This window comes from Homo sapiens, chromosome 14 (assembly GCF_000001405.40).
Source record: "Homo sapiens chromosome 14, GRCh38.p14 Primary Assembly".
Taxonomy (NCBI): Eukaryota; Metazoa; Chordata; class Mammalia; order Primates; family Hominidae; genus Homo; species Homo sapiens.
The window spans coordinates 88636909-88652046 of NC_000014.9; the positions used below are offsets into that span (position 1 = coordinate 88636909).

Consider the following 15138-nt stretch of genomic DNA (forward strand, 5'->3'; position numbering starts at 1 on the left):
TAACAGAGAGGACAAAATGATATACTTGGCCCTAAAATTCCAAGATTCTATCCAGGAAAAAAGTTTGAATGTAACTGGCTAAAATAGTACAAAATCAAACATTTCAATTACTCTATGATCTATATGATTTTTAACAGAAGGAACAATAAACATTGTAAATGCTGTTTTGTGTTTTGTGGGTATTAAACAAGCCTGACAGCAAAGTAACAAAACAATTCTCTTTATGTGTGAGGAGAAAAATAAAATCCTTTCTTATTCTTTAGTCTTCCCTTGAGTCTATCTTAATTAGTCACCAGTAATTTTTGTTATCTGTCTTCTGGAAGGGTACAAATGGTGTAAAGAATGGAGCTACATATATAATCTAAAATTTACCTCTGTACTCCCCAGATTTTGACTTGGAAAGAAAGAGGAGGGATATAATTAAACATTTCATATTTTCTATAGTGTTGTCTTTCAAAATAAAGGGGAGAAAAGGGCCAAATTCCTAAAAGATTAATTTGTGACCATGACATTTCTTAACTAAGAAAGAAAACCACAGCACTAAAATGATAAATAAGTTGCCTAACAGAGGGAGAGCAAAGGAAAGAAAAGGAGAAGCCAAGGTGGGAAATGAAAGAACCATATTCTAGAATTCTATTTGCAGAACGTAAATCCCATTAATACAGGGATTTTGCCTTTTTGTAAGTAGCCCATATCCCCAGCACCTAAAACAATACCTCGCACATGGCAGGTGTTCAGTAAATTTGTTGAGTAAGTGAATTTACTCAATAAAAATTAACTAAACAGTAACTATGTACCAAGAGGCATTGAGCTAGGTACTTAGGTAACATAGTTTCTTCATTCCTCAAGGAGATGGGCCTTGTTCCTTGTGCACAGTGAAAATAAGACTTCACTTTCCAAAATCTTAGCACAAACAGAAGCTAGACCTATGTATTTATATGCAAAGATTAGAATATTTTCTGTATAATGGGTAATGTTCCATTTACTTTTAAAAGTAGAAAACTGTACAAAAAGGAAAAACACAAGGGTCTATGTGGCATAGCTTCAGAACCAGGCAACCCAGACAACAAATTCCTGACTATCAACTTAGTACTCGCATGAAAAATAAAGATATTAAAAGTATAAATTATCTTAGTCAAGAAGAAAAGGGACCTGGAAAGCTAGCTTAGCCATCAAGGCCCAATAAATTCCAACAAACTCAATGATTTCAATAAATTTTACAAACGTATTGAAGTTTATGAAACTTCTGCCATATTCATATTTAGTAATCACAGGTTGGCAGATATGTCCTAAACAGACCTGCCATCCTCTCATCAGTTTGGCTGTAGAGTTATGGCCTTTGTTTAACAGTTTTTCACAGAGGTAAAAGAATACAGGTATATTTCAAAACAGCTCAAGACAGTTGGTGAATTAGGTCAATGACAAAGAAAAGAAAAAGGCAGAAGGGATTTACCAACAACAAACAGACTTGGGTCCTCTCTTCTTTCCAGCCTGAACCCCCACGGAAGCAGGGTTCTACCCCGCCCAGTCTAGTTATTTCTTAGCTTCCCTTTGTTTACTACTTCCTCTTCAAACTCCTCTTTTCTGCTTTATATGCTATTGACTTAAACCTTTTTGCTGACCAGAAATTCCTGCTAAAGGACTAAATCCAACTATTTCAACTACCATACAATAGTTTCCTTTAAATTTTGGATTGTCAAGACCAACTCAGATAACCAGAGTGAGTGAGAGAAAGGTACCTGAAAGCAAATAATATGGTATAATTGGGTAGGGCTTTATGTATACATAGATTTTGAACAATCGATAAATCAATAAAATTTTGATTTTTTCCTTGGATATTGAATTTATTTGAACAAAGCAAATGCTTTAAATTGTTTCTTTTTAAAATACAGAAACATACCTACTTGGCCAGTTGCCACTATGTTGATAAATTTGGGGTGCTGGTTTACTGTGAGGCACAGAATATCATCATTATGTTCCTGATAAAAACTCTGAGAACCTACAAAAAAGAATTTGAGAATTAAGTTTGAAAATTTTAAGATGTAACAGCCAAAAGCACTTACCCAGAACAATAAACTACTCTTTAACTTATTTGCTTATTCAAAACATGTTTTTGAGCACTTACTATGTATACAGCATCATAAGGATAGAAAAATGATTCAGAATTATGTAATGGGATAGAGCCGTAAAAGGGATAAACAATACAGTACAAGGCTGAAGATTCCAAGTGCCACAAGAGAGTTGGGATCAAAATGCTATGGGAATTCAGAGCAGAAAAGATTAATCTCATCATGGGAATATGGTACTCCTGGACTGACCCAGATAGATTTTACAAATGTAAAAGTCAGTGGGGAAGGGCCTTCTAGACAGAGGAACACTTTAAGCAGAGGCCTAAAGGCAGGAAAGTGTTGTGTATCCATATAACAGGCTCATTTGGCTGAAGTGTAGGGTCATGAAGAAGAAAGATGAGTAACATGGTTGGAAAGGCAGCTTGGGACTAGAGTTAGGGAGGATTTTGAGTGTCAGCCCACGATCCTTCTGTTTTGGTTTCTCAAAGAAAAGGATTTGCCAGAGTCACACAGAAACCAGTAGTAATTTTCCATTTAATAATTTGGGCCATATTGAGTCACATTTTATATTTGTTCTTATGTCAGTGGAGGAAGAACTGCAATCTGTTTTTGTTTTTTTGAGACAGTCTCACTCTGTTGCCCAGGGTGGAGTGCAATGGTGTAATCCTGGCTCATTGCAACCTCCACTTCCCTGGTTCAAGCAATTCTCATGCCTCAGCCTCCCAAGTAGCTGGGATTACAGGTGTGTGCCATCATGCCCAGCTATATATTTTTTGTATTTTTAGTAGATACGGGGTTTTGCTGTGTTGGCCAGGCTGGTCTCAAACTCCTGGCCTCAAGTGATCCGCCCATCTTAGCCTCCCAAAATGCTGGGATTACGGGCATGAGCCACCGTGCCCAGCAGGAATTGAAGTTTTTTGATCAAATAAGTATAATGTGATTCATCTGGTAGTAGTAACAGTGAAGAGACCTTGTAAGGCTATGACAGTAGTCCATGCAGAAGGGAAAAAAGATAGACTTGTGGAAGTAAAATGAAGAGGTGGAAAATGAGTTCAGAGCAGTAGGTTGGATCCAGAGGATAGAGAAACCATGAATACTACTAGGCCCCCCAAAAAGCAAAACAAAAATCAAACAAGTGGGGCACTTCAACAACCCACTGATAGTGTTAGATCATCAAGGTAGAAAACTAACAAAGAAATTCTGGACTTGAATTCAATACTTGACCAATTGGACATAACAGAAAGAACACTCTGCCCATCAACCATAGAATATACATTCTTCTCATCTGCACATGAAACATACTCTAAGATTGACCACATGTTCAGCCATAAAGCAAGTCTCAATAAATTCAAGAAAATTGAAATCATCTCTGCCATACTCTCTACCCACAGTGCAAAATAGAAATCAATACCAAGAAGAGCTCCCAAAACCACACAATTACGTAAAAATTAAATAACTTGCTCCTGAATGACTTTTGGGTAAACAATGAAATTAAGGCAAAAATTTAAAAAAAATCTTCAAAGTAGATTAAAACAGAGACACAACATACCAAAATCTTTGGCATGTAGCAAAAGCATGTTAAATGTTAAGAGGAAAGCTTACAGTGCTAAATGCCTATCTCAAAATGTTAGAAAGATCCCAAATTAACAATCTAACATCACACCTGGAGGAAATATAAATACAAGAACAAAGTAACCCCAAAGCTAGCAGAAGAAAATAAATAACAAAATCAGAGCAGAAATGAACAATACTGAAACCCAAACATCTATACAAAGAATCAACAAAATAAAAAAATCGGTTTTTTGAAAAGATAAACAAGATCAATAGACCACTAGTAGTTAGCTTAACAAAAAAAAGAAGATCCCAATAAACACAATAAAAAATGACAAAGATCACATTACAACCAATCCCACAAGAACACAAAAGGCCCTCAGAGACTATTATGAACACCTCTAAATACACAAACTAGAAGATCTAGAGGCTATGATGTTAGTTGTGGGCCTCTAAAAAAAGAAGAAGAAGAAGAAGAAAAATCTAGAGGAGATGGATAAATTCCTAGAAACACACAACCTCTCAAGATTGAATCAGGAAGAAACTGAAATCTTAAACAGACCAATAATGAGTTCCAAAATTGAATCAGTAATAAAAAACCTATCAAAAAGCCCTGGACCAGATGGATTCAGAGCTGAATTCTCCCAGACATACAAAGAAAAGCTGGTGCCAATCCTACTGAAACTATTCTAAAAAATAGAGGAGTGGGCACTCCTCTCTAACTCATTCTGTGAAGCCAGCATCACCCTCATACAAAAACCTGCCAAAGACATTTGAAAAAAGAAAACTACAGGCCAATATTCCCATAGAAAACTACAAAACATCCCACACAAAACATCATTCCCATACAAAACATCATCCCTATGATGAACATAGATGCGAAAAGCCTCAACAAAATACTAGCAAACAAAATCCAGCAGGACATCAAAAAATTAATTCACCATGATCAAGCAGGTTTCATCATTCCTGGCATGCAAGGTTGGTTCAACATATGCAAATTAACGAATGTGATTTACCATATAAACAGAATTAAAAACAAAAACCATATGATTATCTCAACAGATATGGAAAATGCTTTCGATAAAATCCAACATCCCTTTCATGTTAAAAACCTTCAACAAACTAGGAATTGAAGGAACACACCTCAAAATAATGAAGCATTTATGGCAAACCCACTTCCTACACTATGCACAATGTATCCTCAAACTGGTGAGAAACCAAATATAATAAAAACTAAAGCAGGTGGCCTAGTCTCCATCTGCCCTCTCTCTAGACACCCCACCACTAGAAAAGTGATTAATTACAAATCAGAAAAGTAAAAATAAAATTATAAGTATAAACATGAGAGTTTACACATACATTCCTTTCTTGTTTATCTTACTCTTCCTCATTCTCTCTGAAGGACAGACAGACCTCGATTAAGAAGGATTTTTCTCTCTAATCAGTATGTTTTAAATGGCCCAAATTATTAAATAGAAAATTGCCACTGATTTCTGTGTGATCCTGGTGAATCCTTTTCTTTATGAAACCAAAATAGAAAGATCATATTGATGGTTAATACCGACAAGAGGTGGTGGATTATAATTCACATCATCAATCTACTCTTTACCCATTCAGGATGAAGCTATCAGAGGAAAACCAGAATGAACTAGATAACCTTTATTTTTACTTCTAACTTTCAGACTTTTATGAAGTTTGCCATTAAATTGTAATAAAACAATTCAAAATTAAATACTTAATGTTACTAGTAGCATTATCACATTGTTCATGAAATGATGCTAACAGAACATTATTTGCTCTTGAATAATCCAACTGAATAACCCAATCAGTTAAATGAACATCAAGAAATAATTTTCTCACCTTCTTGGATCAAACAAGGTATCATCATAGAGCCACAGATAAACAGCTTTCTTAGCCTTTCTTCCTTGGCTTTCCAAGGCCTCAGTAAGAACACTTCCAGCCCCAGCAATCACTCACCCAACATGCTACATTCAATCACTATCAGAAACCACCATCCAAACCATCTATTCTCATCATGAGGTTATGGGAAAATAGAATTAAAGTTACAAACGGTTTCAACATAAAACATGGTTTTAACATACAGTAAAACCTCTACTTCTAATAGAGACTTATGAGCACTTTGCATTATGAATTCCTTTTCTGCTGTATTATACTCTCTTAAAACTGAAATTTGTTTACTTGAAATATTACTAGAAAGTTCTGAAATATGAAATATTTTTATTCTGGAGTGTTTCTCCTACATTTCAATTACTATTTATAGCTTTAACAAAGATTTTAAGCTGCTAGATCAAAATTTCTAAGTTAAAAAAATTGATAGAGGGATGGAGAATCAGGGTTTCCTACCTGTAGCAACATTGTGCAGAATTCCAACAGATGCAGTGTGATAAATTATATCATCACCATCATTTAAATAGTGAACATTATTCCTACAGTCTCTGCCTCGATAACCAAAAATGAGCTCCAACACAAGGTCCTATAATGATAATAATAAAACCATTATATTCTTCCTCATGTATAAATGTTCACCACTGTTTTGTTGTATACGTAATACTAGTAGTGTCTGCAGTCAAAATGGAGTATGCATTTTTGATGTTTTACAAACTTAATATACAAAATTAAGCTACTCATACTTCTTTATATAACCTGTTTTGGGCAGCTTAAACATACATTCTATACTTTTCTATATAAAGTTATGAAAAGGAAAATGGAATCACAAGGTAGTCTGATTCCAAGAACTTTAGTTCTTAAGATTTCACATGTAAACACTGAGGTACAGTTGGCCTTACATATCCAAGAATTCAACCAATTCCAGATAGAAAATATTGGGGAAAAAAACAATAAAAAATAACATTTAAAACACAATATTGTATAACAAATATGTATACAGCATTTACACTGTATTAGGTATCATAAGTAATCTACAGATGGTTTAAAGTATGCAGGAGAATGTGCATAGGTTATATGCAAATTACTATGCCATTTTATATAAGGCACTTGAGCACCTGTGGATTTTGGCATCCCCAGGGGGAATCTATCCCCCATGGACATAGAGGGACTGTATTTTTTGTGTCCAAAAGAAGAAAATTTTATGTTCATTGTTAATCAAAGTATCTGACCTACATACAAGAGTCAGGATAAATTATGTCCAAGTCACATACTTCGAAGAACTCAAACAGTACATTCATCATCGGTGGATAAAAACTAAGTATACTGTCTCTGACAATTCATGCTAAAGTTCTGGCAGATAATTCTGCAACTGAAAATGTACATTTCATTGACTTTGTAGGACTAGGTTGGGGAGGGAACGACAGCAATCACCATCGCACAGCTTTACGCCTTGTTTACGTTTGATTTAGCAGAGTTTGGTTGTTCGCTACTGCTACCGGGATTATGAAATGCCTAAAGAGCCTTCCTTCTTCCTCAATTATTACGTAAGGTTACTTTGGCTGGAAGCAGAGACAGAAGGAGAAACAGGCTTCATGAACCCTGTACAGTGAATATATCGCACAGGGTCAAAATTCCTATTTGGTATAAGTACTTACTCTTTAATTTACAAATTTAAGCCACTAAATTTTAGATACTGCCAAGGTGTCTGTGCTTCTATAAGCAAAAGATCATTCACACATACTTAGGTTTAGGACTCCTCTGAGATACAGTTCAATTAGGGTATTATTCACAGAAAAGTAAAAGGAAGACTAATTTAAAAAATTAAGAGAAACAGAGAATATCCATCCAAAACTCAGACTTACATAAGAATTAAGTCAAACAAAAAACAGTACTCAAATACACTGATTTTCATGAAAACTAATGACAAAACTTGGGTGTTTTATAAAAAAGAACTCTGGATACATTTCAGTAACACTGGAGAGTGAGTTTTCCTTACCTCTATAGGTCTCTTTTTCTTGCCTACATTGTTTGTCTGGAGTTTCTCTGGCTGTGGTGGGGCCCTGCTCACTGGAGGCCTGCAACAGAGAAGTGGGGAGGAGGAAAGGCATGCAGCACTCAGTGCCTTCACTGAGCCTCTCACACCATCCCTCCCAGAGAGGTGTCTTGTCACACCTTCCCAAAGATGACCCATTCTGTGGTCCACTAGACTGCCCTCTTCATCTTGAGAGCTTCTAAAGCAGGAAGGTAGAAAGAAAATATTACAACTTTTATTCATTTTATTTTATTTTTTTTGAGACGGAGTCTCACTCTGTCGCCCATGCTGGAGTGCAGTGGTGCAATCTTGGCTCACTGCAACCTCTGCCTCCTGGATTCAAGCGATTCTCCTGCCTCAGCCTCCCGAGTAGCTGGGATTACAGGTGTGTGCCACCACACCAGATAATTTTTGTATTTTTTTAGTAGAGACGGGGTTTCACCATGTTGGCCAGGCTGGTCTCGATCTCCTGACCTCAGGTGATCGGCCCGCCTGGGCCTCCCAGAGTGCTGGGATTACGGGATCAGGAGTGAGCCACCACACCCAGCCTTTTCTCTTCTTTCTTTCTTTCTTTTTTAGACCAAGTTTCACTTTGTCACCCAGGCTGGAGTGCCGTGGCACATTCTCGCCTCACTGCAACTCCACCTCCCGGGTTCAAGCAACTCTTGTGCCTCAGCCTTCCCAGTAACTGGAACAACAAGCGTGCACCACCACACTCAGCTAATGTGTGTATTTTTAGTAGAGATGGGGTTTCGCCATGTTGGCCAGGCTGGTTTGGAATTCCTGGCCTCAAGTGATCCGCCTACCTCGGCCTCCCAAAGTGCTGGGATTAGAGGAGTGAGCCACTGTGCACAGCCTTACTTTTAATTTCTTTGGTGTACGTGTCATAATGTAAATAACAGCACAAGAGTAGATTGTTTATAAACAAATGTGAAAATGTTAATTTAACATACTCAAATATTTCTTGATAGGTACATTAACAACAAAGCCTGGATTACTGTTCTAAAGTATCTAACAGAGTATCTTCACATGGCAGGTATTGAATACATCCTTCTTGAAAGTGAATTTTCGTAATATTTCTATGAACGTTCCACACTGTTAGCAACATAAATCACATCCGAGTTCAAATTTGTATTTATCTGTTTCTCCATGCCCTTCACCTTCTCTACTTGCTGAAGTCCCTAGTACTGGTTAATGGCATTGCCATCAGATGGTTACTCAAGGAAGACATTTTATAGTCACAAAGCACTGTAAACCATACAACACACTATAAAAGGAAATAACTATTATTATTGCTTCCAACTCTTTCTCTTCCCTTATTCTCACTATTTACTAAAAATGTATCAACTTTACCTACACAGTAGCTGTCAAATCTCAAATCTAGCCCCTCTTCTCTGTTCAGGATCTATTTATAATGTGCCGTGTCCCAACAGGTATATTGAGTTCACATTTTGAATTACTTAAATGTAGAAGCTCTTCTCTAGAACCTTTAATTTTTTTAAAAAATGCAATTTAGTTTATTATTTTTATCTCAACCATTATTCAAATACTGAATAACCGGAACATTGAATTTAAATCAATCATGCACCAATCCCTTTCCAAATTTTAAGTTAATATTCAATTTGTAACACCTAAATCAGGAAATAATACAAATTAACCTTCCCATATAAAAGACTCCAACATTTATGAACAAGTCTCATAAAATTAAAGGCATAAAATATACTTGCATTTTCAAAATGGTTGTCAAGTTAAACATCAATAAAAGTAAATGTGCTATATCTTAAACATCCAATAAGAAATGAATGGGATGTTGATACGCAATATGAGGCAGCATGTAAAATATATAAGCATGACTGGTGTCATAAAAAGTAAACATCCTTTTCAAGAATATATAAACAATGTTTTCAAACCTTCTTCATATACTTTTTTGGATGCCCACAAGTAAAAATAAAACTGAATTTATCATATTTAACATTTAAAAATATTTCTGACAGGACCATTTCAAAGAATGATAGAAGCCTTGCTTTTTTCCCCAAGTCAATTTTGTTGGTGAATATTATTCTATGTTACTGTCTGACAGCTTTAAATGTAACCCAAACAATAAACAGGTAATTTTTATCTATATAATCCTATATAACAATTAACCACATTTTAATTTTTATAAAGATCATTTAAGCATATTTTAATTTTTATAAATATCATTTATATAAGGTATATCATTGCTGAAAATAAAATTATACAACTTATAAAATTATACAAGTTGAATGGATAAGTTTTAGTAAAGCAGTTACTTATACAGAGTAAGTCCAATAATTAAGATGTTATTCATTTCAGTGATACCAATTCCAAAGGAAAAAAATGTGCAAAACTGTGAAGAGAGGTAAAGAACACTAAGTAACAGTATCCCATTAATGCTAAATATGGAAGATGACAAAAATACAAAGTTAGGCTTTGTAAACACAGCAAAGAGAGGATTACCTGGAACCTCTTTTCAGCAGCAGATAAAGAGGGAAAAAGATTACAACATAAATTTGAATTGAAAACACTAGTGAAATACCTCCTGTAATAAAATATTTTAACAAGTTTAATGCAGACAGCTATATTGCATAATATTAAAGGCCTGTTGTTTTTAGTTTATAATCCCAGCACTTTGGGAGCCCAAGGCAGGAGGATCACGAGGTCAGGAGTTCGAGACCAGCCTGGCCAACATGGTGAAATCCCGTCTCTACTAAAAATACAAAAAACATTAGCCAGGCATGGTGGCACGCACCTGTAATCCCATCTACTCAGGAGGCTGAGGCAGGAGAACTGCTTGAACCCAGGAAACGGAGGTTGCAGTGAGCCAAGACTGCATGCGCCACTGCACTGCAGCCTGGGCGACAGAGCACGACTCCATCTCAAAAAAAAGAAAAAAAAGAAAGAAAAAAGAATAAAGAAAAGGCATAAGGCTGGGCACAGTGGCTCACACCTGTAATCCTAGCACTTTGAGAGGCCAAAGCAAGAGGATTGCTTGAGCCTGGGAGTTTGAGACCAGCCTGGGCAACACTGTGAGACCCCATCTCTATAAAAAACACAACAATTAGCCAGGCCTGTGGCACCTATAGTCCCAGCTACATGGGAGGGTGATGTGGGAGAATCACTTGACCTGGAAGGTCAAGGCTGCAGTGAGCTGTGATCACATCACTGCACTCAGCCTAGGTAACAGAGTGAGACCGTCTCAAAAAAAAAAAAAAAAAAAAAAAGGGTTACTCCATTAATTAATAACAGGGAATCACAAGAAAGGTGAAAAAAGAAAAAAACAAATAAATGAGAATTCAATATATTTCATGTTGTGAACTTTAAAGCTTGCCATTCTTATTTTTCTGCAATATAATCTGAATTTTAAACAAAACATTTAAGCTTATTTTTGTTTTTAAGAATGGGCACTGGCACTAAAATGTTAATTTAAAAAGCTGGTAGCACTGGAGATACTTCAAAGGAAATTGTCTAAAGAGCCTAAGTTCCACCTGTTCTGACCTAAGAGGGTTCCCCAGTCAGTGAATCCAAGCAGGCAGAATTAGTCACTCGGGACTATGCTGAATTTAGAATTTTGCTAGTAAAAAAAGTAATCTTTAAAAAGTTTTTTTTCTCTCTTAATAGCATAATGATCAAAACAAAATTGGAAGGAATCATGAAAGTCATTTCATCCATTTTCCCACTGAGACCAGGAACCTTCTTTACATGTCTAGAACAATCATTGTACAGCTTTGATGACAACTAATCATCTAAACTCTGTATAAATACTGCTTGTGACAGGTCTCTTCTACATAAAAAGCCATTCATATCCAAGATAACAATGATATCTCCATTTAGTTTTCTTGTTTTGAAACAAGATTCCCAGAATAATAATTATTATATTTTTTTGAGACAGGGTCTTGCTCTGTCACCCAAGCTAGAGTGCAGTGGTGTGATCATGGCTTACTTGAGCTTTGACCTCCCACGCTCCAGACATCTTCCTGCCACAGCATCCCACGTAGCTGGGACCACAGGTGCACACCACCACACCCTGCTAATTTTTAAAATTTTTTTTGTAGAGACGGTGCCTCATCAGATTGGCTAGGCTGATCTTTAACTCCTGGCCTCAACTGATCCTTCAAACTTAACATCCCAAAGTGCTGGGATTACAGGCATAAACCACTGCACCCGGTCAATTAACTATTCTTTATATGAAGTGGCCTCCCAACCTCCCTTCCTCCTGTGCTTTCTTCTAGCCCATTATAAACTATCCAAGTCTCCTTTAAAATGTAGAGATCAGTACTGAGTAAGCTATTCTAGATGTGAGGCTAGATCCGGGTGCTTTATTTCTGGTAAAATAGTATAAGATTTTATGGCCCATTTTAGAGGTTGCTTCATACTCTGAACTCATATCTTTGTACACACCACTCTGCTTAAAACAGATGATGGATTCCTGCTGTAGATATAATATTAACAGGTGCCTATTATTTGAGTTTCTGCACCATCTGGTCTCAAGTCTACTGTTTTCATCCTTATCTCCCAGCATTTTCCTAGTGATACCTTCCTCCCGCCACCCCCCACCCCCGAAACAGGGTCTTGCTGTGTTGCCCAAGCTGGAGTGTAGTGATGCCATCACAGCTCACTGCAGCCTCAAACTCCCAGGCTCAAGAGACCCTCTCACCTCAGCCTCCTGAGTAGCTGGGACCACAGGGCTGCCACCACACCCAGCTAATTTATTTTTACTTTTATTTTTTGTAGAGACAGGGTCTCATCATGTTGTCTAGGCTGGTCTTGAACTCCCAGGCTCTAGCAATCCTCTCACTTCGGCCTTCCCAAGTGCTGAGATTACAGGCCTGAGCCACAATTACAGGCCTGAGCCACCGTGCCCAGCCATGATACCTTTTTTAATTTATAAAACAGACTAGCCATTTCCACACTGTCGTTTCAGAAACTCTTTCAAGACATTTTCACATCACCAAAGGTAGATATAAAAGTAACCCAAAGAGTCTTTACCTACATGTCATTTTATTAAACATACAAATACCATAGTTACCCTCTTTTCATCTTTTTAAATGAATGGATTAAACATGCATTAAATCATGTTAACAGGTTTAAAATTGAATAGTCTTTCACTTAAATATATGTGTGGTTAGGTTTGTTTTTACGAGCCTCTGAAACTTAAAGAAAACCAAAACTATTCATTTGCATTGTAGTAGTTTGTACAGTCATATGTAAAACAATTTATCATAATGAAGACCCTTATAATAACAACCATATATGCTATCTAAAAATGCAACTCTTTTATAGAATTTGTCCTACTTCATTTTATAATGCTTTGTTGACAAATGTAGTTAAATGTTTTATAGGGAAAAAATACCTTAAAATACCATAAAGAATAAAATAAAGGGTAAATTTTTGAATAAAATATTTTCTTTTATAAAACACTTACCTTACTACTCCCTGCCTTCAAAAGGAGCAAGGGGGAAAAAAGTAGGAAAACATATAAAAATTGATGATGAATAGAATACAGCATTTTAGCAAACAGAAGAAAGGCAACATGTCAACAGAATTTTAAGGAAATACAAAAATGTCTAACTTATGTCACATTGGTTTAAACATTGATTTAAATATTTTTATTCACAAATACTGGAAATTTGACAAAAATTAACTACTTTAAATACATAATATTTGTTATAAAAACATTTATTGGCTGGGCAAGGTGGCTCATGCCTGTAATCCCAGCACTTCGGGAGGCTGAGGTGGGTGAATCACTTGAGGTCAGGAGTTCGAGACCAGCCTAGCCAACATGGTGAAACCCCGTCTCTACTAAAAATAACAAAAAATAACTGGGCGTGGTGGTGCCTGCCTGTAATCCCAGTTACTCAGGAGGCTGAGGCAGGAGAATCATTTGAACCCAGGAGTTGGAGGTTGTAGTGAGCCAAAATCGTGCCACTGCACTCCAGCCTGGGCGACACAGCAAGACTCTGTCTCAAAAGAACAAAACAAAACAAAAAAATAAAAACAAAAACATTTATTAAAAAAGAAAAAGGTAAAATTATCACTTAGGAAAAACATCCACGAAAGTATCAACCAAATAGAATGGTTATTGTCATCAGAAGCATTTTTCCTTTTAAGTGGATATTTGATAAGTATTTAATTGTTTTTAATTTTTTTTTCATTTATTTATTCTCCCAGAGACAGGATCCCACTCTGCTGCCATAGCTGGAGTGCAAGGGTGCGATCATAGCTCACTGCAGCCTCCAACTCCTGGGCTGAAGCAATCCTCCTGCTCAGCCTCCTGAGTAGGAACCTCCTGGTACAGGCATGTACTACCATTCTTGGCTAATTTTTCTATTTTTTGTAGAAATGGGGTCTTGCTGTGTTACCCAGGCTGGTGCTAAACACCTAGTCTCAAGCAGTCCTCCCACTTCAGCCTCCCAAAGCACTGAGATTGCAGGCATGAGGCACAGCACCTGGCCTGTTTTCCATATAAAGTGCTTTATTTCATATTTATGACAGTAATATATGTTACTAAAAAGCAATTATTTAAATAAACCATGAACCATATTATCTCCTCACAAATATTCTAAGTTGGTAAAAGAGATATGAACCTCTTCATTTGTAATCTCCTTTGATTTTTTTTCATTTTGTGAAAATGAAATCACATTGATGACTTCTGCCTTGTCATTTTCTTTTTTTTTTTTTTTTTTTTTTTAAGGCAAAGAGTAGAGCTTGGACTCTGCCACGGGGGCCAACAGACCCTCTCTCTCCCTCCCCACACCTTGTCATTTTCAAAATATTTAGCAGGGTTGAAATTGTAAAGTAAATTGAGAACAAAATGCAAAGCAATTTGAAAAATTACTTTGAAAAAGTTAGCTGCAGAATATACAAGCTAACATCAAAGATTTCAGTTATGACAGTGTTAATCATTCTTCATGAGTAGTAAAATATTTCCATCTGTCAGAACATGCCTCACTTCAGCAATGGGTGGAAATTTACATTTAAGTGTTTTACCGTGAATGAAGCAGACTACAGATTAAAATTAGGTCACATTTTCTGACATACCAAATTTATCCAATAAATAATTTTTTTAAAAAATCAATATAACAAATGAAAGAAATTTATGGGAATGTCTAGAGCCCCTTCTTCCCCATAGAACACTTTTCACTTTTCATTACTTAGGAGACATAATTTTCCTTAAGTCATATTAAACACTACACTTCAAATATTCTAATTAGAATATTTAAATAATATTATATTTTCATATTTATCTGTATTTATCTAATAAATACATATGTAGCGCTTATTGCTTTGTGAATATTTAATTTCAGAAATAATGTTTAAGTATTTACCAGGTATCTCCTCAGTTAACTTTCATTTCATTCCAAGGGATAAGGTGTCATTAATGAAGACCTACTATCTAAATTCTTGATTTACATTATTTCATTTAAAACTTGAAATATACCATAAGTTAGGGATTATAATGTTCATTTTGCCACTGAGGAAACTGAGGTTCAGAAAGAATGAATAATTTTTCAAACTCACACAACTGGTAATGAAAAAAATGAGTATTTTACCCATTTG

At 36.1% G+C, this 15138-nt stretch overlaps 1 protein-coding gene across 24 annotated transcripts in view; it reads right to left on the reverse strand.

The window, feature by feature from the left end:
* EML5 (EMAP like 5) overlaps positions 1-15138 on the reverse strand; it is a 180523-nt gene that overhangs the window by 24478 nt on the left and 140907 nt on the right. For 14 of the 24 annotated variants that reach the window (NM_183387.3, XM_017021066.3, XM_017021064.3 and 11 more), the window contains 5 exons: positions 13004-13018; positions 10039-10047; positions 7525-7603; positions 5985-6114; positions 1901-1999 (listed from right to left, as the gene is read on the reverse strand). In NM_183387.3, the coding sequence (NP_899243.1) occupies positions 1901-1999; positions 5985-6114; positions 7525-7603; positions 10039-10047; positions 13004-13018 (332 nt within the window). The remainder of the gene's footprint in view (positions 1-1900; positions 2000-5984; positions 6115-7524; positions 7604-10038; positions 10048-13003; positions 13019-15138) is intronic. The other 10 variants (XM_047431057.1, XM_017021065.3, XM_047431056.1 and 7 more) reach the window with 3 other exon arrangements.